The sequence below is a fragment of the Homo sapiens genome, chromosome 17 (genome assembly GCF_000001405.40).
Source record: "Homo sapiens chromosome 17, GRCh38.p14 Primary Assembly".
Lineage (NCBI taxonomy): Eukaryota > Metazoa > Chordata > Mammalia > Primates > Hominidae > Homo > Homo sapiens.
Window position 1 is genome coordinate 75782376 of NC_000017.11, and position 23871 is coordinate 75806246.

At 45.8% G+C, this 23871-nt stretch overlaps 1 protein-coding gene and 1 non-coding gene across 11 annotated transcripts in view, besides 6 other annotated features; one reads left to right on the forward strand and one right to left on the reverse strand.

The window, feature by feature from the left end:
• Positions 783–962: an enhancer, noted in NCBI's record as "active region_12777". NCBI's record gives its function as "activates an Ori minimal core promoter by ATAC-STARR-seq in GM12878 lymphoblastoid cells {active_cell/tissue: GM12878}" and the evidence as "EXISTENCE:reporter gene assay evidence [ECO:0000049][PMID:35858748]".
• Positions 2146–2232, reverse strand: MIR4738 (microRNA 4738). Its single transcript, NR_039892.1, has one exon. It is a non-coding gene; the product is annotated as a microRNA 4738 (primary transcript).
• UNK (unk zinc finger) overlaps positions 2431–23871 on the forward strand; it is a 40994-nt gene continuing 19553 nt past the window's right edge. For 3 of the 10 annotated variants that reach the window (XM_011525400.2, NM_001080419.3, XM_047436964.1), the window contains exon 1: positions 2431–2609. Coding sequence is in view for 7 of the 10 variants with exons in the window: in NM_001080419.3 (NP_001073888.2) it covers positions 2506–2609 (104 nt within the window). In the remaining 3 variants the exon portion in view is untranslated. Of the gene's footprint in view, positions 4534–8411; positions 10104–11067; positions 15023–23871 lie in introns of those variants that run through there. The other 7 variants (NR_038131.2, XM_047436962.1, XM_047436965.1 and 4 more) reach the window with 7 other exon arrangements.
• Positions 2493–2632: a silencer, noted in NCBI's record as "silent region_8985". NCBI's record gives its function as "represses an Ori minimal core promoter by ATAC-STARR-seq in GM12878 lymphoblastoid cells {active_cell/tissue: GM12878}" and the evidence as "EXISTENCE:reporter gene assay evidence [ECO:0000049][PMID:35858748]".
• Positions 2493–3103: a biological region, named in NCBI's record as "NANOG-H3K27ac-H3K4me1 hESC enhancer GRCh37_chr17:73780981-73781559".
• Positions 2525–3103: an enhancer, noted in NCBI's record as "NANOG-H3K27ac-H3K4me1 hESC enhancer chr17:73780981-73781559 (GRCh37/hg19 assembly coordinates)". NCBI's record gives its function as "activates a minimal SCP1, AML or CMV promoter by ChIP-STARR-seq in naive H9 embryonic stem cells {active_cell/tissue: H9 hESC(naive)}" and the evidence as "EXISTENCE:reporter gene assay evidence [ECO:0000049][PMID:30033119]".
• Positions 2693–3092: an enhancer, noted in NCBI's record as "active region_12778". NCBI's record gives its function as "activates an Ori minimal core promoter by ATAC-STARR-seq in GM12878 lymphoblastoid cells {active_cell/tissue: GM12878}" and the evidence as "EXISTENCE:reporter gene assay evidence [ECO:0000049][PMID:35858748]".
• Positions 3104–3681: an enhancer, noted in NCBI's record as "NANOG-H3K27ac-H3K4me1 hESC enhancer chr17:73781560-73782137 (GRCh37/hg19 assembly coordinates)". NCBI's record gives its function as "activates a minimal SCP1, AML or CMV promoter by ChIP-STARR-seq in naive H9 embryonic stem cells {active_cell/tissue: H9 hESC(naive)}" and the evidence as "EXISTENCE:reporter gene assay evidence [ECO:0000049][PMID:30033119]".

Here is a 23871-nt window from a genome sequence, read left to right on the forward strand (position 1 = left end):
CTGGGACTACAGGCGCCCGCCACCACGCCTGGCTAATTTTTTTGTATTTTTAGTAGAGACAAGGGTTTCACCATGTTAGCCAAGATGGTCTCGATCTCCTGACCTTGTGATCCGCCCACCTCGGCCTCCCAAAGTGCTGGGATTACAGGCTTCAGCCACCACTCCCTGCTGTGTTTCACGATTTTTCTAGGTTATACAGAATCCTGTCATTTCCATGCCTTTGTGTGGATGGACAGTCATTTTCTTTCCAGCTTTGCTGATTATTAGAAACTAAAGCCACCCGGAGAAAAAAGGTATGGATATACATTTATCCATTTAAGTATGATTCGTGGAAACAGGAGTCCGGGCGCAGTGGCTCACGCCTGTAATCCCAGCTCTTGGGAGGCTGAGGAGGGTGGATCGTGAGGTCAGGAGTTCGAGACCAGCCTGACCAACATGGTGAAACCACGTCTCTACTAAAACTACAAAAATCAGGTGGGCGTGGTGGCACACACCTGTAATCCCAGCTACTCAGGAGGCTGAGGCAGGAGAATTGCTTGAACCTGGGAGGCAGAGGTTGCAGTGAGCCGAAATCACACCACTGCACTCCAGCCTGGGCAACAGAGCAAGACTCTGCCTCAAAAAAAAAAAAAAAAAAAAAAAAAAAAGGCTGTCTCTCTTACTTCGTAGTCATGCAGGTATGTTTCACTTTTTCCAGATTGGTACAACGGAGGAAAAGCAACACAGGAAATGAGGAAGAATAAAAAATGTTTATACAATGAAAAAAAGCAGAAGAAAACAAAACAAACAAAACCCAACAGTGAATGTGATGTAGTCTTGTAGGCTACTGTCCTAGTTCCTCTTGTTACCAACTTGCTGAGTAACTTTGTGCAAGTTACTTAGCTTCTCTGGGTTTCGGTTTCCTCTTTTGTAAATTAAGCAGTTTGGATGATATCATCTCCCAACTCCACCAGTACACACTTATTCTGAAGCTCATGATATACATCTATTATTTAAAATCCAGTGCTGTGAACTCTATTTCTTCAGTCAGATCACACTTGAGTATTGTGAGGCTAACATAAACCAAGTAACTTGCGTTTAATCATAGGATTAAAGCAATATACTACAACTTTTATTTGTCCTTTTGTAATTTTTCATTTTCAAACGCCCCTAGTGGCTAAACGATTTAGCCTGTTTAGGAAAAACCAGTTTCTCAACTCTGTGATGTGGCTTCTGATGTGAGGGAACTTGGAGCTAAATAAAATAAGTATGTGTCACTCAAACATTAACGATTTTCCATTAGCCCCACCACCCTTCATCCCTAAGGTTATTTGGAATGTGTTTCTTTAATGAGATAATCATTTGTTAATATAATCCCATCTAAGAAAATATAAATCAAAACCAGTGGATTTGAAATAGATTCAATATGAAAAACCAAATTAAATGACAACGGTTAAAATATCTACGGAGAACATTCTAAAACTCACAGAAACAAATGCCTAGGTCTGGGGCATCTGGCTTATTTTATAAAGTGAAGAACTTTGCTTGACTGGTGGGAAGCAGAGAGGGGAAAGATAATGTCCCAAGTAAAAAGGCTGACGTCCAGACAAGAAAACTAGAGTGGATAAATACGGGCACGCCCTACTCAAACCCAGGCCTTTCCTCTGGACCCTGTGATGCTTCTCAACACTGGCAACTTGTCAGTGTACCTCAGAGACTATTCTAGGCGGAGATTAAATTCGTCCTTGGCCCTTAATGTACTGGAAACAAGTTGGTCAGGCCAGGTGTCAGGCTGAGAAAGCACACAAGTCGTGGAGTTCCAGGTGTCGAGTTTGGCAAAGGTAAATGAAGCGCCTCGGCAAAGGCGCGGGAACTGTAGCGTGCGGTGTACCTCCTCCTTAGCAAAGCTTTCTCAATGCCTCTTAGGTTAGACCCGCCGCAGGGATGAAGGGGTTGCTGGCGGATTGCAGGTGCCTGCAGCACAGGGCCCAGAACTAAGAACCGACAACACAGATTCTTAAGCCCTGCTTGGAGCACTGCTCTGAGCTGGCATTAGAACCGAACCTAGCTGTACTAAGTATAAAGGCAAAGTAGTTATGACACTGTTGGCAGTGAAATTATACTTGGAACTCTTTCGCAGAAATCGCTAGGGCCTCCCTAGCTCTGGGCCCCTTCTCCTCCAGGCGCTCCAGTTTCATGGAAAGGCTTCCCTATGAAACTGAAAACGCGCTGGTAAGAAGGAGAAATGCGACCGGACTGCAATTCCCAGAAGCCGTCGCAGGCCCTCAGCATCCGGGACACTAGCAGCAAGGATCCCTGGGTATTGTGGTCCTGTGCTTTGCCAGCAACCCTCTGCCGACGGTAAAATTCCAGCCGGACATAGAACCACAACTCCCAGCAACCCCTGCTGCCGTGTGGGGGGTCTTCACGTTCTCGTGGCGCGGCGCAGGCGCACTGGGTCCTCGGCGCGGACCGCGCAGACTGAATAATAAAAGGGGAGCGGCGAAGAGGCAGGAAGACAAGACCATGTCGAAGGGCCCCGGGCCCGGCGGCTCCGCAGCTTCCTCGGCGCCCCCGGCCGCTACCGCTCAGGTGCTGCAGGCACAGCCCGAGAAACCGCAGCACTACACGTACGTAGAGCCCCCCCCCCCCCGCCGCGCGCGCACGCCTGACGTCAGCGGCCAGCGTGAGTCACGCGCGCAGGGAGAGCGCGAGGCGGCCTCTTCCTCCCCCCCTTCCTCCTCCGGCCCGGCCCAGACCGGTTCCAACCTGCTGGGGCCGGTCCCAACTGCCTCCAACTGCCACCAACCTCTGGTCGGGCTGTGGGGCGGGAAACTCGGTCCCGGCCGCCGAGTGGGGAAGGCGGGAGCTCGGGATGCAGAGTGCACTCTCCCTAGGCCAGGCCTTCGAGGCCTAACTGTTCCTCAGACCATAAAACCACAGTAGTAGGCTCCTTTGGGGCAGTGAGAAGTCCAAGACACAACCAAGAGGAGTTCCGTGGGGTCCAGCCCCAGAACCCACCTATGAATGATGATTAACGTGAAGTCCTGTCAGGAGATTCCGTGCAGTTTGCGCAGGAAGCCTTTTGTGTCCCTAAGGCTCGTAGGTTGTCCACGAGGGCCACACTTGCTTGAATTCACAGTCGACGTAGATAAACATGCAAAGATGGAAACGTGTCCGTGCGTGCCCATGACCGTTTCCCTCGCGGGCTGTGCGGAGCCTGAGTCTGGGAGCCCGAAGGTGATGGGTTCCAAGTATGTCTGCAGGCTCAGCAGAAATGTAGCATTAGAGGGAGCCCCAAATACTGACACTACAGGAGTCCAGCAGGATGGGAAAACCTCTTCCTGGAAGTCTTGCATCTGTGTGCTTTTAGGTCGCTGTCTTCATTTCCTTCAAGCCACGTTAAGCATTCCCTAGAGTTAGGTGATGTGGGAGAAAGATGAATAAGGGGCGGTTTCTCCTGTTAAGCAAAATGTTGCTTTCCATTTTCCCTGATGCTCTGTGAATGCCTCTCATCCCCATGGGCTCCTGAGTGATGTGCATGTTTAAAAGGATCCCCAGCTGCGAGAGGTTTTGGAACCTGGGGGGTTGAACAGCTCTTAAGTTGTTCAGTGAACGAAGAACAGAATCATCTGTTGGAGTAGAAAGAACTCAAACCAGTCAGGAGGAACTCTTGTTATAGAAGACCTTGGGAAACTGTTCTGGGGTTGGGGAACATTGGTTATAGGAAGTGTATGGTTTCTTTGTGGGATTCTTTGTTGTTGGCTGAAATCATTTAAGCTTCTTGACTACAGTCTGACTCACGTTAACCATTCCTTTTCTGATATGGACATTGCTTTCCTGGTCCTTTCTTACTGGAGATCTTTCGCAGTCTTTCCATTGATTTTGGTGAGATGTTCTTAGCTCAAAGACTACTGATGAGTTGAATGGTGTAGTCTTGATTTTCGAATCTGGAAACTTCACGTAATTGGAACTTCTTTATAATCTCTGGTTGCTCAGATCACTGTTTTTAGCAAAATAAACACATTTTGAGTCACGAGAGTCTTGGCTTCAGCAACTTGTGTTTCTGTGTTGTGTTGTCATTGAGCATACTATGGAATCTGTAATAGAAAGGCTTTCTTATTTTGGAATTGACAGGTGAAACAAGTGAACAGCTGATTAAATGTCAGTATCTGAGTCTTTGTCCTCTTGATGCTCATTTGTTTAAAACCTGTCTTTCCTGCCGGGCGTGGTAGCTCTCACGCCTGTAATCACAGCATTTTGGGAGGCCGAGGCGGATCGCATGAGGTCAGGAGTGAAGAGACCAGCCTGCCCAATATGGCAAAACCCCGTCTCTACTAAAAATACAAAAAATTAGCTGGGTGTGCTGGCGGGCGCCTGTAATCCCAGCTACTCAGGAGGCTGAGGCAGGAGAATCGCTTGAACCCGGGAGGCGGAGGTGGCAGTGAGCCGAGATCGTGCCACTGCACTCCAGCCTGAGCGACAAGAGCAAAACTCCGTCTCAAAAAACAGAAACAAAAACAAAAAAAAAGCCTGCCTTTCCATTCCTTGTGGGTAAGTATAGAGTAATGGGACCTGGCTCTTGAGGTGTCTTAGGAAATCAACAGGAGTAGGTGAAATAGCCAAGCTTGATGGGAGGTTGTAGGTGTTCTTATCTCTTTGTCTGTTCATATGTATGTGTGTTTTTATATTTGTATTTCCAAAAATCAGAGATAGAAATCAGTGGTCTTTCTTGCTAGACTTACTAGCATTCAGAAGCTGTGATGACCTGGAAAACTTCATCCCCTAGTCCTCCTAGGGCTGAGGTGCAGGGAGCATGAGGACACATATGATGGAACCAGCACACTTGCTGGCTCTGATTTTTCTTTTTCTTTTTTTTAAGATAGGGTCTCTGTCATCCAGGCTATAGTGCAGTGTCACCATCTCAGCTCACTGTAGCCTCGACCTCCCTGGCTCAAGTGATCCTCCCACCTCAGTCTCCTGAGTAGCTGGGACTACAGGCACACCTGGATACATTTTTTTGGTATTTTTTGTAGAGACGTGATTTTGCCATGTTGCCCAGCCTAGTCTCGAACTCCTGTGATCGAGCAGGCGCAAGCAATCTACTGTTGGGCCTTGGCCTCCCAAAGTGCTGGGAGGCCACCACACCCAGCTTTTTTTTTTTTTTTCCTCTTCTTAAAAGAGACATGGGCAGGGTGCGGTTGCTCACACCTGTAATCCCAGCACTTTGGGAGCCTGAGGTGGGTGGATCACTTGAGGTCAGGAGTTCGAGACCAACCTGGCCAACATGGAAACCCCGTCTCTACTAAAAATACAAAAAATTAGTCAGGCCTGGTGGCACACACCTGCAGTCCCAGCTACTCAGGAGGCTGAGGCAGGAGAATCGCTTGAACCCAGGAGGCAGAGGTTGCAGTGAGCAGAGATTGTGCCACTGCACTCCAACCTGGGTGACAGAGTGAGACTCGGTCCAAAAAAAAAAAAAAAGAGAGACGTGATCTCTCTGTGTTAACCAGGTGGACTTGAATTCCTGGGCTCAAGCAGTCCTGCCTTAGCCTCCTGAGTAGCTGGGACTACAGGCACATACCACCATACCTGCTTCCCTCCACCCCCATAAGGTGAATTCATTTATTGCCCTTGGGAGTTAGGGGGCGGGAGCATTTTGATTTTGATTTTAAATGAAAATTTGAGCTGCTTGGGAGGTAAACAGTGGGTACACATGGACATACGGAGTGGAATAATAATTGATCATTGATAATAATTGATCCCATTTTGAATACAGAGATAGACCCCTTTTGAATATTTGTAAGTTTTTGCCTGTCAATTTTTTCTTTTTTTTTTTTTTGGAGACAAAGTCTCACTCTGTTGCCCAAGCTGGAGTGCAGTGGCGTGATCTCAGTTTACTGCAACCTCCACCTCCCGGGTTTAAGCAATTCTCCTGCTTCAGCTTCCTAAGTAGCTGGGACTGCAGGCACACGCCACCATGGCTGGCTAATTTTTGTATTTTTAGTAGAGACAGGGTTTCACTGTGTTGGCCAGGCTGATCTCGAACTCCTAACCTCGTGATCCGCCCACCTTGGCCTCCCAAACTGCTGGGATTACAGGCGTGAGCCACTGTTCCCGTCTGCCTGTCAAATTTTTTACCTTTTTAAACTTTTATTTATTTATTTAGTTGTATTTTTAGTAGAGATGGGGTTTCACCATGTTGGTCAGGCTGGTCTTGAACTCCTGACCTCGTGATCTGCCCGCCTCGGCCTCCCAAAGTGCTGGGATTACAGGTGTGAGCCACCGCGCCCAGCCACTTTTATTTTTATTTTTAATTTTTTTTTTAAATTTATTTTTGTCACCCAGGTTGGTTGGACAGAGCAAGAGACAGGATCTTGCTCTGTCACCCAGGCTGGTGTACAGTGGCATGGGAAGGCGTGAGCCTGAGAAGGTGTGAGCCACCTCACCTGGACTTTCTTATACATTAATTAATTTTGTATAGTTTTATACCTGATGTTATTTGAAATTAGGTAACATGCTGTAGTCTTTGCAATAATCCAGAGACACTTGTGTGATAATTGAGTCTCACTCACCATAACAGTAATCTTGGCAAACACAGTTGAATACACTAAAAGCAAAAAATTATGTTGCCATTGGTTTCCCTTTCTTGCCCTTCATTCTTGTGCTGAAATTAAAGTTCTTAGAGTTTGAGCCCTCCTTTTCCTAAACCAAGAGGATTATTCATAACATAGTTTAAAGGATAATTTTGTTGATTTTTTTTTTCTAAACTCTTGAATAATCTTGCTTTAAGGGAAACTTTGGAATAATCCTTTCAGCAAATTGGTGTAGCAGGCACTTGTGCTGGACTTAGGAATCCAGTCCTTTTAGAAAACAGTTATGTCAGAAGTTCCTTTATTGTACAGCTCCAAGTATTTGCTTAGCACTTAGTAAAACGATAATGTATATGTATTATTATTCTTCCAATACAAGAACCACATGACCTCTTTTTTTTTTTCTGAGACCGAGTCTCGCTCTGTTGCCCTTGGCTGGAGTGCAGTGGCGCGATCTCGGCTCACTGCAAGCTCCGCCTCCTGGGTTCACGGCATTCTTCTGCCTCAGCCTCCCCAGTAGCTGGGAGTACAGGCGCCCGCCACCATGCCCAGCTAATTCTTTGTATTTTTAGTAGAGATGGGGTTTCACTGTGTTAGCCAGGATGGTCTCGATCTCCTGAACTCGTGATCTGCCCGTCTCGGCCTCCCAAAGTGCTGGGATTACAGGCATGAACCACTGCGCCTGGCCTGTGACCTCCTTTTACTAGACAGTTTGTCTTTTAATTTGACAAATAATGAATTTAATTCAGCTTTGTTTATAACATACTGTCTTGTATATTGGAAGAGTTTTATAAAAACGTTTAAGAATGAGGAGAACTTTTGTAGCAATCACGTCTCAAAATGTATCTACAAGTTTAGCTACCTTTTGGCTTTTTGCTGTATTAACAGTTATACTATTGAAAGTGTATAGCTGAGCAGGGCGTAGTAGCTCACATCTGTAATCCCAGCACTTTGGGAGGCTGAGGTGGGCGGATCATGAGGTCAGGAGTTCGAGACCAGCCTGGCCAACGTGGTAAAACCCCCGTCTCTACTAAAAATACAAAAAAATAGCTGGGCATGGTGGCGGGCGCCTGTAATCCCAGCTACTGAGGAGGCTGAGGCAGGAGAATCATTTGAACCTGGGAGGCGGAGGTTGCAGTGAGCCGAGATCGCGCCATTGCACTCCAGCCTGGGTGACAGGACTAGACTCCGTCTCAAACAAAAACAAAAAAATAAAATACAAAAATTAGCTGGGTGTGGTGGCACACACTGAGGCAGGAGAATTGCTTGAACCCAGGAGGCGGGGGTTGCAGTGAGCCGAGATCTCGCCACTGCCCTCCAGCCTGGACAACAGAGCCAGACTCCATCTCAAGGGAAAAAAAAAGTTTATTCTTGAAAGGTCACAGAAAAACTACCATCTGAAATATCCAGCTGGGTATGCTAGCTATAGTCCCAACTCGTTGGGAAGCTGAGGCAGGAGGATCACTTGAGCCCAGGAGTTCCAGACCAGCATGGGCAACATAGCAAGACCTCCTCTCTACTAAAAATTAAAAAAACGAGCCTGGTGTGGTGGTGTGCATCTGTGGTCCTGGATACTCAGGAGGCCGAGGTGGGAGGATCCCTGAGCCCAGGAGATAGAGGCTACAGTGAGCCAAGATTGTGTTACTGCACTCCAGCCTGGGTGACAGAGCAAGACCCTATCTGAAAAATAAATAAATAATTGGCTGGGCGTGGTGGCTCACGCCTGTAATCTTGACACTTTGGGAGGCCGAGGCGAGTGGATCACTTGAGGTCAGGAGTTCGGGACCAGCCTGGCCATCACGGCAAGACTCCATCTCTACTAAAAATACAAAAATTAGCTGGGCGTGGTGGTGCATGCCTGTAATCCCAGCTACTCGGGAGGCTGAGACAGGAGAATCGCTTGAACCCAGGAGGCGGAGGTTGCGGAGGTTGCAGTGAGCCGAGATCACACTACTACACTCCAGCCTGGGCAACAGAGCGAGACTCTGGCTTGAAAAAAATAATAAAATAAAAATAAATAAATAAATATTAAACTCTCCAAGTTTCTGACCTCATTGTTTTGACCCCATGAGAGGAAGTATACCTCAAAGACTAATCATGTCTTCATGCCTTCAACTGCAGTGACTGCAGTCGGTTCTCAGACTTCTTAATTTTAATGCCCTCATGTTAAAGGAAAATGAAATTCTAGTTTAGTGAAGGTTTGCAGGAGTTTTCTGGCCACTTGGTGATTTCTTATAGGTCGACAGAGAATAAATACTTTATAGCTTCATCTATCTAGGCATCATTTAAATTTAGGACTGGTTTCCTGGGCATCGAATTAAACAAAGATAATGTAGCAATACTTCCATAGATAACTCTTTTCAGGCAGTTTTGTCAGTTTATGTATTACGTAAATGTCATTAACTTCACTTGATTGCATCTGATTGTATTTTGGAAAATCCTGGACATGAACATGTATTTAAGTCATTATTGCAAATTACAATAAAATCGTGCATGCATTAGTAGAGTACTACTTGTTGCACAACAGAAGTCATTGGAAGCGTTGCTGAGCAACCTCAGTGAGAACGAGCTACATTACCAATAAACATTTCTGGATCTTATTTACTTGTTTATCAAGTAGAACTAATTTCTTGCAGGACAGAAATTAGGAGCTCATTGTAGCCTTCATTTAATCCCACAAAATCCCCGTTAAGTGTTAAGTGCCCTTGCTAAGGGTAGATTCTTAAACTTAACACCTAGTTGATATTTGCTATTATCTAAATTATTAAAGTCAAGATTTGCTTAATGGTTAAGTTTTTTTGTTTTAATCCAGCTATGTTAGATACTAAAGAAGGCTTCCCCACAACCCATATGCATCTGCTTTGACTGGTGGTTTCTATCATCCTACAAAGACTGTGACTTATTGGTGAGGGCAGCTGGACAACTCTGAGAGCAACTTAGAGAAATCCATCTTGGGCACACTCTATAAAGGAGCTCCTTCTCTGCAAATAGCACCCCAGATAAGTGCACAAAAGCAAGATACCCTCGTGGACCTACACGTCCTCCCGCTTTTCAACACCCTGATGCCTGAAGGTGAGGTCTCTTTCCTGTGTGTCTTAGAAGCCATGAGCACGCTTAGGTAACTAGAGCCCTGCCACAGCCTGAGCAGCACAGCACACATCTGCAGGCTTTCCTGCCAGACCTTTACCTAAAGGTAATTTTTCTCATTAGGAGAGACTCCAGGTCAAGAGTGATGACAGTAAGGTTGCATTTAAAGCTGCATTACATTAAATAGTGGACTGGTCTAGTGATTATTTTCCCACACTGGGCAATATTTGCTTAATGATTAAGTTTTTTTGTTTTTGTTTTTGTTTTTTTTAATCCAGCTATGGTTGATACTAAAGGAGGTTTTCCCACTATCCGTATGCATCTTCTCTGTTTTGAGATTGCAACTATGGACAGTTATGGCTAATCCTAGTAGATTGTCTTCCCTTTTAACATCTTGGATGAATTTGGGTCACACTAATTGTTATGTGAAGATGGATGTTGAATGTAAGTTTCTCTGCCATTCTTAGCCAATATATAAAAATTACATTAGCCTAATTGCTAACAATGCCAAGAATTTAGGTTTACTATCCCTCTGGACAATGTAGCTTCTTGTTTTCTTACCATATAGATAACTCTATAGATTCACCCCAGCCAGTCATCTTAAAATACCTGCATAGGCAGCAGAGGTATCTGTGGAGAAAGTGCATGGGATAATAGGTACAGGGTGATTTTGGGAGTGATGGAAATATTCTGGAATTAGATATGGTGAAGGTTACATAATGTGGGTGAATACACTAAAAACCACTGAAATGTACAAGTGGTGAGTTTGAGTGCTCTCTGAATTATATCTCAAATTGTTAAAAAGTTAATTAAAAAATCAGTGTATATGAGTCCCTCTTACCATAGAGAGGGCTTCAAGCGCATGGCCTATTGCCAAGGCTCAGCAACAGTGGTTCAGTGTGGGAAAGCCTGTGGTTTGCGCAAAGCTCCTTGGTGCCCTTTTCCCAGCTTTCTCAGTGGCTTAGGCCCTGTGTATCTATTCTAGTTGAATGCCGCCATGTTATAAGTCTGTGGAGATGTTTTGAGATAAGAAATACGTATTCAGAAAACAAGTTTGAGACTCTTAGGTGCTGGTAATTATACTTTACCTTGTCTCCAACTTGATAGCCATTCCAGGGAACAAGCAGATTTTTAGCAATGCCTTCATAAGATGAATCATGTCTACTTCCTGGGGTGGGTGGGAGGTGGAAGAGAAGTTTGCTGTCCTGCTAAAATGTAATAGAGTCCATTCTTCAGGTATCGTGAGTGTTTTAAGGTTTACATGGGCATTTCTTTAAGGACAGGCCATGTGTTTTAGGCATTTAAAATGATATCAATGGCTATACTATATTAGTTCAAGTAATCACAACAAACTTTTTATTATTTCTCTATAAAATCCCTCAACTTTCACCCCTTTTTTCTTTGCCAGTGTGTAGAATTTGACAGCAGTATCAAGAGCTGAGGAGAAGGAGAAGATGGAAAGGAGTCTAGCAACTTAAAAATCTCACAGCATTCTCTGTGAGGTGACCTTTTTTCCTGTTGGTGGCTCAATTTCTTTAGGACATAAAGAAGATACTGAGGCCTGTGACAGCCTGTGACAGTATCATCAAGTCGTATCTGAACTTATTGAACTGTTTCCTCCCCTTCCTTATTCTTTATTCACAGTTTGCTTTTCATGTGCATAAGTTGACTCATTTGTTTCCTGTTAGCATTTGAAACACCATATAGCCACCATAAGTCCTGACAAAATGACTTTTAATAAGGAGGGGGAAGGTCCATGTCCCACCTTCCTATGAAATTTTGGCCTATTCACAAGTCTACCCCCACATAAGAGAAGTAGTTATGTTCTGTAAAGAAGAGGTTGATAAAAACCTTTAGCATGGTGTTTTGTGACTTAGAAGTTTTAAGTAGTCGTTCTTATATCTAAGCATTTATTAATTTTGGTAAGAACATTACTATACGTTTCTGATGTCACTTTTACTGTTAAGAGGTGCCAGGCATCTGGTGACCTGTCACTTCAGGATTTGTGTGAATCAGACCATCTAAATATAATATAAATTAGAGACTGGTACTTGTATTTCCTGATTAAAAACAAAGTAACGTCTGTTTTACTATTGAAGTAAGAGTACTTTATAATGAATACAAAAATGTATATTAAATATCCAGTAGAGCATGCTAAAGTGAACATTTCTGTTTTTATTTCAGCAACTTATTTTATGGTATTGTAGTTATGGCCTGTCCGAAACTCTCTGACATATTCTAAACAGCTTTCAGAGAGTCACTGAGGCTTATTTGCTACTACTGTTGTTTTTCCTTTAGCTCAGTTAAGAAATGTTTAGTTAGCCGGGCATGGTGGCTCACGCCTGTAATCCCAGCATTTTGGGAGGCTGAGGCGGGTGGATTGCCTGAGGTCAGGAGCTCGAGACCAGCCTGGCCAACATAGTGAAACCCCGTCTCTACTAAAAATACAAAAAACTAGCTGGGTGTGGTGGCGGGCACCTGTAATCCCAGCTACTAGGGAGGCTGAGGCAGGAGAATCACTAGGACCCAGGAGGCGCAGGTTGCGGTGAGCCGAGATCACGCCATTGCACTCCAACCTGGGCAACAAGAGTGAAACTCCGTCTCAAAAAAAAAAAAAAATGCTTAGTTAATAGTCAGCATGGTAGTTAAGAGTACTGACTCCAGGGTCACACCACCTGGGTTTGAGGCCCAGCTCTGTCAGTTACTAGCTGTGAGATCTTGGGCAAGTGACTTACCTCTTTGTGTATCAGTTTCCTGAGAATAGGAATATTACCTGTCTCATGGGGTTGTTATAAGGGTGAAATAAATGAGTTCATACATGTAAAGCGCTTAAAACAGTGCTTGGCACTTAGCACAGCGTAGGTACTGTTCTCCGCCATTATTTGAACAGGGCCCTAGTCACTGCTTTCAGTTGCATTGCTCCTTGCTTCAACAGCCCTGATTGAATGCCTTCTTTAGTTGCATCCACACTAAAATAGATCCTTCAGTTCCTAGGGCACGCACGGGGCAGCAGCATCTTCAGAGAACAGTTCTCTCTTCCACGTCCACTTGAATTCTTATTTCATTCTCCAGTCTTTGTAGCGCCTCCATCATACTGCTTGTATCTTACATGATGGATGTGTGTTCTAAACTGACCCATGCAGTTTAGGGCCAAATACGTTGTTGTACAGAAAACAATGTACAAAGAACATGTTAGTTTAAACATATTACTAAAGGGTCATAAAACTGGAGGTTTTCCAGGCTAGCTTTTTCAGGTTAGCTATGTACAGAAAAACTTTGTGGGCTTTTTGTTGTTGTTGTTGTTGTTGTTGTTTTTGGTTTTTGAGACAGGGTCTCGCTCTGTTGTCCAGGCTGGAGTGCAGTGGTGTGATCTCCGCTCACTGCAACCTCCGCCTCCCGGGTTCAAGTGATTGTAGTGCCTCAGCCTCCTGAGTAGCTGAGATTACAGGCACGCGCCACCACACCTGGCTAATTTTTGTATTTTTAGTAGAGACGGGGTTTCGCTATGTTGGCCAGGCTGGTCTCATACTCCTGACCTCGAGTGATCTGCCCGTCTTGACCTCTCAAAAGTGCTGAGATTACAGGTGTGAGCCACCATGCCTGGCCAGAAAAACTTTGGATAAAGTCAAGGTATTATATAATTTGGGGGAGGATGAACGGGGGTTTGTAGTACTCTCGAATATTCTCTAACATCAGTGACGTGAGTGACCCTTATATGAATCTTCCTCAGTTTCACCAGCTCTAGGCCCCACAGGGCAAGGGGACAGTTATAGAAAGAAGGGACCATGGACACACAGGACTAATTGCACACCCTTCCTGGCTCTTGTTAGTTCTTGGGGCCAGGACAGCTCACAGGTGTCAGAAAGTTCCAGTGAGCCCCAGTGAAAAGTGGGCTGAAATAATTGCCAGTGATTGGCTCCCCCACTGTAAAACACTGACTTGCTTGAGTGCCCGTAGCACTTGAACTGTGGGTTGCTGTGTGTGTGTGCACGGGCGTGTGTGCCCAGGTGCGGTAGGGAGTTTCATCGCATCTAGGAGCTTCATAGTAGCCATAAGATCATATTGTATTTACTCTGACTAAAGGCCAGTGTGGGATCAAAGACTCCCTTAAAGGTTCAGACACACTTACAAATTCACCAGACACTTATTTTATTTGCCTGAATAATACTCCCTGAGCTTGCTTTTTCTGCCAGAGAGAATATTCTAAATCAGGATCACTTTAGAAGATTTGGAAGCCACATCTCTATAGCTGTGTAGTGTGTCAGATCCATCCAAATATTTAAAGCTTTTTTTTTTTTTTTTGAGATATGGTCTTACTGTGTCACCCAGGCTAGAGTGCAGTGACGTAATCATAGCTCACTGCAGCCTTGAACTCCTGGGCTCAAATGATCCTCTCACTTCAGCCTCCTGAGTAGCTGGGACTGCAGGTGTTTACCACCATACCCGACTAATTTTTTATTTTTAAATTTGTTTTGTGAAGTCAGGTTCTTACTGTGTTGCCAGGCTGGTCTGGAACTTCTGGCCTCAAGCAGTCGTCCTGCCTCTGCTCCCCAAAGTGCTGGGCCTGAGACACCACACCCAGCCTAAACTAAAAGCCATTTTTAGTAACTCCCACCAATGTGGTTACTGTTACAAAGTTGTATGGTTTCTGGGTCATGTTTGGTATCAGAATGTGTATGTATATCCTTATAAATATGGAATGTAGAACTGATAATAGTTTACCTATCAGATTTGCAAAAATAAGGAAAGATTTTTAGCAGCTTGTAACAAACATATACATACTTGGATAAATAATTTAGAATTTTAACCCATGGCTCATATGCTCTTACAATATTCTCTTTGAGGGTAAAACATACTTTATTCTTAAACTTAAAGAACCTTTGATAAGCCGTGAATTATGATCTCAGTGACTACATTTCTTTTTAGGAGTTATATGTGGGGGAAGGAAAGAAGTAGCTAGCAGGGTTAACATGGAAAGCAGGAGATTATAGACAAGCATCATTTGAGCCTTTGGATACTACAAATAATCTTCAAAAATGACAGGTTTTTTGGCTTTTTGTTTTTCCTTTCCTTTAGTGCTAGTTGCAGAATCCTATCATATTGTGGTTAGATTTCAATAAAGAATGTTTAAGATTAGGACTATGTCTTGCTTTTTAAAAAGATCCTATATTCATGTTAAAGCTTGTATATATTTGTTTTTTGTTTTTGTTTTTGTTTTTGAGATGGAGTTTCACTCTGTCCCCCAGGCTGGAGTGCGGTGGCGCAATCTCGGCTCACTACAACCTCTGCCTCCCAGGCTCAAGCAGTTGTCTGCCTCAGCCTCCCAAGCAGCTGGGACTACAGGCATGTGCCACCATACCCAGGTAATTTTTGTATTTTTAGTAGAGATGGGGTTTCCCCATGTTGGCTAGGCTGGTCTCGAACTCCTGACCTCAGGCGATCCGCCCGCCTTGGCTGTCCGAAGTGCTGGGATTACAGGCATGAGCTACCACACCTGGCCTATACTTGTTGAAAAAGATGAAATTCAATTTTTATAAGACTGGCTGTAATAAAATGAACATTAGTAGCTTATTAGGGATATGGGCAGATCTGTCAGATTGCCCTGTCTTTGCCAGCTGCTGTGTGAGGGTCATGAGTAGTGACACTAAGTGGCCAGGAGAGCAGCAGGAGCTGCAGGAACAGGTGTTTCCTCACTGGCCGCTCCATCTTGAAAACTCATGGCCCATTACCCAAGGCTGAGGGGCATCCAGAGTGAGTTATTCCACCGGCTCAATCTCTTGTCCCTTTTGTTGGGCTTACATCTTGCTGTTCACTGCATGTTCCGGGATTCATGAAGTCCTGAGCAAATCTGGTGTTGCAGCGCCATCTCTTTCTGTTGGCTTGTCTTAGTTGTCTGGAGGCCATCATTGTCTTGCCTATATGTCTCTGTACTCAAATCTGTAGGTTTGTCCAAATCAGATTATAAACAAACAAAACATACAGGGTGGACATTCATGCAGACATGCACTCCACAAAAAGATTGACCACAGCTCTTTTTTTTTTTTTTTTTTTTTAAGACAGAGTCTTGCTCTTGTCACCCAGGCTGGAGTGCAATGGCACGATTTCGGCTCACTGCAATCTCCGCCTCCCGGGTTCAAGCGATTCTCCTGCCTCAGCCTCCCGAGTAGCTGGGATTACAGGTGTGTGCCACCACACCCAGCTAATTTTTGTATTTTTTAGTAGAGACGGGGTTTCGCCACGTTGGCCAGGCTGGTCTCGAACTGACCTCAGGTGATCCCCCCACCTCAGCCTCCCAAAGTGTTGGGATTACAGGCAAGAGCCACCACGCCTGGCCTAATTTTTGCATTTTTAATAGAGATAAGGTTTTGCCCTGTTGGCCAGGCTGGTCTTGAACTCCTGACCTCAGGTGATCTACCCACCTTGGCCTCCCAAAGTGCTGGGATTATAGGCATGTGCCACTACACCAAACCACGGTTAATTTTTGTATTTTTAGTAGAGATGGGGTTTTGCCATGTTGACCAGGCTGATCTCGAACTCCTGGCCTCAGGTGATCCACCTGCCTTGGCCTCTGAAAGTGCTGGGATTACAGGCATGAGCCACCATGCCTGGCCGATACCCAGCTTTTGTCAGTAGTCATCATGATACCCATTGGTTGTTGGAGGAAATAGAAACAGGAATTAATCTGTAGTGGCTGTGCATGGTGGCTCATACCTGTAATCCCAGCACTTTGAGAGACTAAAGAGGGTTGCTTGCTGGGCACGGTGGCTCACGCCTGTAATCCCAGCACTTTGGGAGGCTGAGGCAGGCAGATCATGAGGTCAGGAGATCGAGACCATCCTGGCTAACACAGTGAAACCCCGTCTCTACTAAAAATACAAAAAAATTAGCCAGGCGTGGTGGCGGGCGCCTGTAGTCCCAGCTACTCAGAGGCTGAGGCAGGAGAATGGTGCAAACCCAGGAGGCGGAGCTTGCAGTGAGCCGAGATCGGGCCACTGGACTCCAGTCTGGGCGATAGTGCGAGACTCCATCTCAAAAACAAAAAAAAAAAAGAGGGTTGCTGGAGGTCAGGAGTTTGAGAGCAGCCTGGGCAACATGGCGAAACCTCATCTCTACAAAAAAATACAAAAATTAGCTGGGTGGGGTGGCAGGTGCCTGTAGTCCCAACTACTCGGGAGGCTGAGGTGGGAGGATTGCTTGAGCCTGGGAGGCTGCAGTGACCTGTAATTGCACTACTGCACTTCAGCCTGGGTGACAGAATGAGACCCTTTTTCAAAAAAGTTAATCTGTAATGGTCTCTGCACATTCCCAGCACCAATGACAAAAGAGCCAGATGCCAGCAACCGACTCTGTGTGTGAGGCGGAAGATCTCAATTTTAGTGTTCAGGTGAGGAACAAAGCTGAGCAGACGTGATGTGGAAGAGAGAGCTTACTGAGTTAATTGCCAGGAGATGTATCTAAGTCAGAGGTTGGAGTTGCTCCTCTGTGTTTTGCTGGGTTCGTGCAGAGCTGCTTTTGTACCAGGTTTCTACCACTTGGGGTGCTTTTTGCTTTTCTTTTCACTTCCCACATCTCAAGCACCTGCTGTGGGTCAGCTCTGTGCAGGGGTACAAAGATGATCGATGTGGCAGTGTACAAAACAGTCAGAATCCACTGTGGTGGCTGTACCAGCAGTATTCACATAGTGCAGTAGGAACATGGAAGCGGGGGCAGGCAGGGCCAGGGAACCCTCAGGGTGATCTAGACCCAGGGGACAACATGATCAAAAGTATGGAAATGTAAGGCTGTGATGTGATGGGGCATACCAACTGTTTAGCGCAGAGGTCACCTGTAATCCCAGCACTTAGGGAGCAGAGGCCAGAGGATAGCTAGAGCCCAGGAGTTTGAGACCTGCTCAGGCAATACAGCGAGCCCCCTTTCTCCACAAAAAGGGGAAAAAAAAGACAAAAAAACCCAAGTGTAGAGCAGAGGTCAGCAAACCGGCTTGCATGCCAAATCCAGCCTGCTGCCTGCTTTTTTAAGGCCCACAAGGTAAGAATTGTTTTCACTTTCTTTTGAGACAGGTCTCAGTCTATCCTCCTGGCTGGAGTGCAGTGGCACAATCTTGGCTCACTGCAGTCTCGACCTCCCAGGCTCAAAGAATCCTCCTGCCTCAGCCTCCTGAGTAGCTGGGACTATAGGTGTGCACCACCACACCCGGCTAATTCTTGTATTTTTTTGGTAGAGACAGCGTTTTGCCACATTGCCCAGGCTGGTCTCCAATTCCTGAGCTCAAGCGATCCACCCGCCTTGGCCTCTCAGAGTGCTGGGATTACAGGCATGAGCCACTGTGCCCTCCCTTCACATTTTTTCAATGGTTGAAAAGATATTTCGTGATGTGACGATTGTATGAATTTCAAAGAGTCCCTAAATAAAGCTTCCTTTGGGCTGGGCGCGGTGGCTCATGCCTGTAATCCCAGCACTTTGGGAGGCCGAGGCGGGCGGATCATGAGGTCAGGAGATTGAGACCATCCTGGCTAATAAAGTGAAACCCCGCCTCTCCTAAAAATAAAAAAATTAGCTGGGCATGGTGGCGGGCGCCTGTAATCCCAGCTACTCGGGAGGCTGAGGCAGGAGAATGGCATGAACCCAGGAGGCAGAGCTTGCAGTGAGCTGAGATCGCGCCACTGCACTCCAGCCTGGGTGACAGAGCGAGACTCTGTCTCAAAAAATAAAAAATAAATAAAATAACGCTTCCTTTGAACCTGCACTCATTCGTTTCTCTGTTGTCTTGGCTGCTTGTGCACTTCAACTACAGACTCAAGTAGTTGCAACAGGAGACTGACTATATGTGATGCTCATTGCTTCTCATTGCTGCACGTGTCAGCATACCACATTTTTTGTTTTTTTTGAGACGGAGTGTCACTCTGTCGCCCAGGCTGGAGTGCAGTGGCGTGATCTGGGCTCACTGCAAGCTCTGTCTCCCGGGTTCATACCATTCTCCTGCCTCAGCCTCCTGAGTAGCTGGGACTACAGGCGCCAGCCACCACGCCCGGCTAATTTTTTGTATTTTTAGTAGAGACGGGGTTTCACCATGTTAGCCAGGATGGTCTCGATCTCCTGACCTCATGATCCGCCCGCCTCGACCTCCCAAAGTGCTGGGATTACCGGTGTGAGCCACTGCACCCAGCCAGCATACCATGTTTTATACGTTCTTCATCACCAGTGCATACCTCTTATGTCAAAAGAAGAGAGGAAGAGAAAAATGCACTTCAAGTATTTTACTTTTAAGGCTCGGTGGCATGTGGATTATTTGTTAACACATTTGGTGGCAAAGCACCCAATAATAAAGATAGCTGTGACTGGGCATGGTGGCTTATGCTTGTAATCCCAGCACTTTGGGAGACCGAGGCAGGAGGACACCTTGAGCCCAGGAGTCAAGATTGCAATGAGCTGTGATTACACTACTGCACTCCAGCCTGGTAACGGAGTGAGACCCTGTCTCTTTATTTAAATAAAGAAGGAAATATTCCTTTAAAATTTATTTTTCCTTTTTTTTTTGAGATCACTCTGTCGCCCAGGCTGGAGTGAAGTGGCATGATCTCTGCTCATTGCAGCCTCCACCTCCTGGGCTCAAGCGATTCTCCTGCCTCAGCCTCCTGAGTAGCTGGGACTACAGGCGCCCGCCACCACACCTGGCTAATTTGTATTTTTAGTAGAGACGGGGTTTCACCATATTGGCCAGGTTGGTCTTGAACTACTGACCTTGTGATCCACCCGTCTCAGCCTCGCAAAGTGTTGGGATTACAGGTGTGAGCCACTGCACCCGGCTCCCCCCAGCCTTTTTTTTTTTTTTGGAGACAGAGTCTTGCTCTGATGCCCAGGCTGGAGTACAGTGGTGCGCTCAGCTCATTGCAACCTCAACTTCCCTGGTTCAAGTGATTCTTGTGCCTCAGCCACCCAAGTAGTTGGGATTATAGGTGTGAGCCACCACGCCTGGGTAATTTTTTGTATTTTTAGTAGAGATGGGATTCTCCATGTTGGCCAGGCTGGCGTCAAACTCCTGACCCTAAGTGATTTGCCCGCCTTGGCCTCCCAAAGGGCTGGGATTACAGGAGTGAGCCACTGCGCCTGACCTAAAAATTTTTTTCTGACCATTGCTTGCTTTTCTGGGAATCTTGTGATAAGTGCTTTGTCTGATAATGCTGATGGATTTTTTCAGCACAGATGTCTTTTTTTTTTTTTTTTTTTTTTTTTTTTTTTTTTGAGACAGGGTCTCGCTCTGTCACCCAGGCTGGCATGCAGTGGTGCAACCGTAGCTCACTGCAACCTCAAACTCTTGGGTTTAGTGATCCTTTCACTTCAGCCTCCCAAGTAGCTGGGACTACAGGTGCATGCCTGGCTTAGTTTTTTAAAAAAATGTTTTAAAACTGTTTTAGTGATGGGGTCTTGCTATGTTGCCCTCAAACTCCTAGGCTCAGGTGATCCTCCCACCTCCGCCTCCTGTGTTGCTGGGATTACGGGGATGAGCCACTGCATGCAGCTAGGAATATTTCCTTACAGCAGAATTTCTTCACAAGAATTAAAACTACATTTTTGTAGTTTCAGTTGCAGGCTACAACTGAAGCAGGTTTCTGAGTGGCTCATTTGTTAGCTAGGCAAGGAAAGCCATTTACTGATGTTGAGTTAATTAAATTGTGTTTGACTGCAGCAGCTGGAGAAGTGTGTCCAGATAAAACACATTTTTGTTTGAGAGTGTTAGCTTTTCAGCAGGAACAGTGTCTCAAAATGTTGAGGACATTAGGAGCAATGTCAGTAGTCAATTAAAAAAGAAGGCCGGGCACCATGGCCCACACCTGTAATCCCAGCACTTTGAGAGGCCAAGGTGGGCGGATCACGAGGTCAGGAGATTGAGACCACCCTGGCCAACATGGTGAAACCTCGTCTCTACTAAAAATACAAAAATTACAGGCCGGACGCGGTGGCTCACACCTGTAATCCCAGCACTTTGAGAGGCCAAGGTGGGCGGATCACGAGGTCAGGAGATTGAGACCACCCTGGCCAACATGGTGAAACCTCGTCTCTACTAAAAATACAAAAATTACAGGCCGGACGCGGTGGCTCACACCTGTAATCCCAGCACTTTGGGAGGCCAAGGCGGGCACATCATGAGGTCAGGAGATCAAGACCATCGATCTCCCAACACGGTGAAACCCCGTCTCTACTAAAAAATACAAAAAAATTTAGCTGGGCATTGTGGCAGGCACCTGTAGTCCCAGCTACTTGGGAGCCTGAGGCAGAAGAATCACTTGAACCCGGGAGGCGGAGGTTGCAGTGAGCCTAGATCACGCCACTGCATTTCAGCCTGGTGACAGAGCCAGACATCATCAAAAAGAAGGCCGATTTCATGTGGTTTTTCCTGGCTGTCGGTGAGTCCACAGCTAAGAAAACACTAATTCAGTACAACCTAAAGTGTAATCTGCTAGTATCTTTTACAGCTGGTGGTGGTAAAAATATGTGTACAGCGGAAGAATAATTGGACAAATTTACAAAACTTGTGAAAATGTAAGGTGGTTTATTCATTGTGTTATTCATCAGCAGGTACTTTGCAGAAAATATCTTAATTTATCATGTGTTATTGAACTCTTAGCATCAGTAATTTTACTTGGTTTTGTGAATCATCATCAGTTCCATAAGTTTTTGTCAGAAATAGAAGCTGAATATTCTGATGTGCCCTGCCGCGCAGTAGTTTGATGGCTTAGCAGTGGTAGTTTTCTTTCAACTTTTTGAGCTCAGGGCTGAGATTGAAAATTTTCTGAATGAGGAGAATCGCTCCCAACCACTATTGAATGCTGAATGGCTTTGGAAATTAGCTTTTGCTGCAGACTAGGTAATGTTTGTTAATGAATTCAACCTAAAACTCCAAAGTAAAACAGTGCTTATGCAAACCCTATGCTTCAGGGAAGTCATGTTGATGACAGCAAATGTTTAAATCATATGTCATGTTAAACTGCCTTGTATACTTCCTGTGCTGGCAAAAGTGAAAACAAAGGCAAGCTCTCCATTCCTACACACATGTTCCAAATGCAGGCTATAGTTCTATCAGGGATTTTGCATCTCAATGTGAACACAAAGGAAATTTCTCTAATTTGAAATCCACTGGGTGGGCGTGGTGGCTTATGCCTATAATCCCAGCACTTTGGGAGGCAAAGGTGGGTAGATCACTTGAGGTCAGGAGTTCAAGACCAGCCTGGCCAAGATGGGGAAACCCCATCTCTACCAAAAAATACAAAAATTAGCCAGGTGTGGTAGCGCATGCCTGTAATCCCAGCTACTCAGGAGGCTGAGGCAGGGGAATCGCTTGAGTGTGGGAGACAGAGGTTGCAGTGAGCTGAGATCACGCTGCTGCACTCCTGCCTGGGCGACAGAGTGAGACTCCATCTAAAAAATAAAAATAAAAAATCCATTAATCTGCGCAACTGAGTTTATGCCAAATCTTCAACTGGAAGAGATTAAAAGAGAAGTATTAAGATTAATAGAATTCTGGCCAGGCATGGTGGCTCATGCCTGTAATCCCAGCACATTGGGAGGTTGAGGCGGGCGGATCACCTGAGGTCAGGAGTTCAAGACCAGCCTGGGCAAATATGGTGAAACACTGTCTCTACTAAAAAATACAAAAATTAGCCAGGTGTGGTCACGGGCACCTGTAATCCCAGCTACTCGGGAGGCTGAGGCAGGAAGAATCGCTTGAACCTGGGAAGCAGAGGTTGCAGTGAGCCGAGATTGCGCCACTGCACTCCAGCCTGGTCAACAGAGCGAGACTCTGTCTTAAAAAAAAAATTAGTAGAATTCTACAATTGTCATCTAAGAGATGGATATCCTGAATAAAAATTATATTCTTGGCCGGGTGCAGTGGCTCACGCCTGTAATCCCAGCACTTTGGGAGGCTAAGGCGGGTGGATCACGAGGTCAGGAGATCGAGACCACAGTGAAACCCCGTCTCTACTAACAATACAAAAAATTAGCCGGGCGTGGTGGCAGGCGCCTGTAATCCCAGCTACTTGGGAGGCTGAGGCAGGAGAATGGCGTGAACCCAGGAGGCAGAGCTTGCAGTGAGCTGAGATTGCGCCACTGCACTCCAGCCTGGGCACAGAGCGAGACTCCATCTCAAAAAAAAAAAAAAAATATTATATGCTTGAGCCTTGGCAACACAGTGAAACCCCATCTCTACAAAAAATACAAAAATTAGCTGGGCATGGTGGCTGTGGTCCCAGCTACCTGGGAGGCTGAAGTGGGAGGATCGCCTGAGCCCAGGAGGTTGAGGCTGCAGTGAGCTATTGCGCCACTGCACTCCAGCCTGGGTGACAGAGTGAGACTGTCTCAAAAAGGAAAAAAAAAAAAAAAACAAGCCCACATGCTTGTGGAATGTTATCAGCATTTAGCAATACCTATGTATGTGAAAAGACATTTTCAAAGATGAAATACATAAAAATCTCATTACAGGCCAGGTGTGGTGGCTCACACCTGTAATCCCAGCACTTTGGGAGGTCAAAGCAGGGGAGGATTACTTGAGCTCAGGAGTTCATGACCAGCCCGGGTAACATAGCGAGATCTTATCTGTACTAAAAATAAAAAAAATTTAGCTGGGCATGGGGGCACGCGCCTATAGTCCAGCTACTCCAGAGGCTGAGGTGGGAGGATCACTTGAGCTCAGGAGGTTAAGGCTGCAGTGAGCCCTGCTTGAGCCGCTGCACTCCAGCCTGGGCAACAGAGCGAGCCCCTGCCTTATAAAAAGAAAAATGTGTGTGTGTGTGTGTGTGTGTGTGTGTGTGTGTATAATATATATGTATGTATTATAGAATCAGAATTAACAATGAACATTTGTAATCCATTTTGATGAAAGGGATCCCCCAACTTTGCAAATTGTTATCCCCTCAAAAAGAAATCTAAAGTCCGCTGGGCGTGGTGGCTCACGCCTGTAATCCTAGCACTTTGGGAGACTGAGGCGCTTGAACCCCAGGGGCAGAGATTGCAGTGAGCTGAGATCACACCACTTCACTCTATCCTGGGCAAAAAAGCGAGACTCCGTCTCAAAAAAAAAAAAAAAAAGAAATCTAAAGTCTAAAATATTTACCATCTGGTCCTTTACAAGAAGAGTTTGCTGGCCGGGCACAGGGGCTCATGCCTGTAATCCCGGCACTTTGGGAGGCCGAGGCGGGCGGATCGCAAGTTCAGG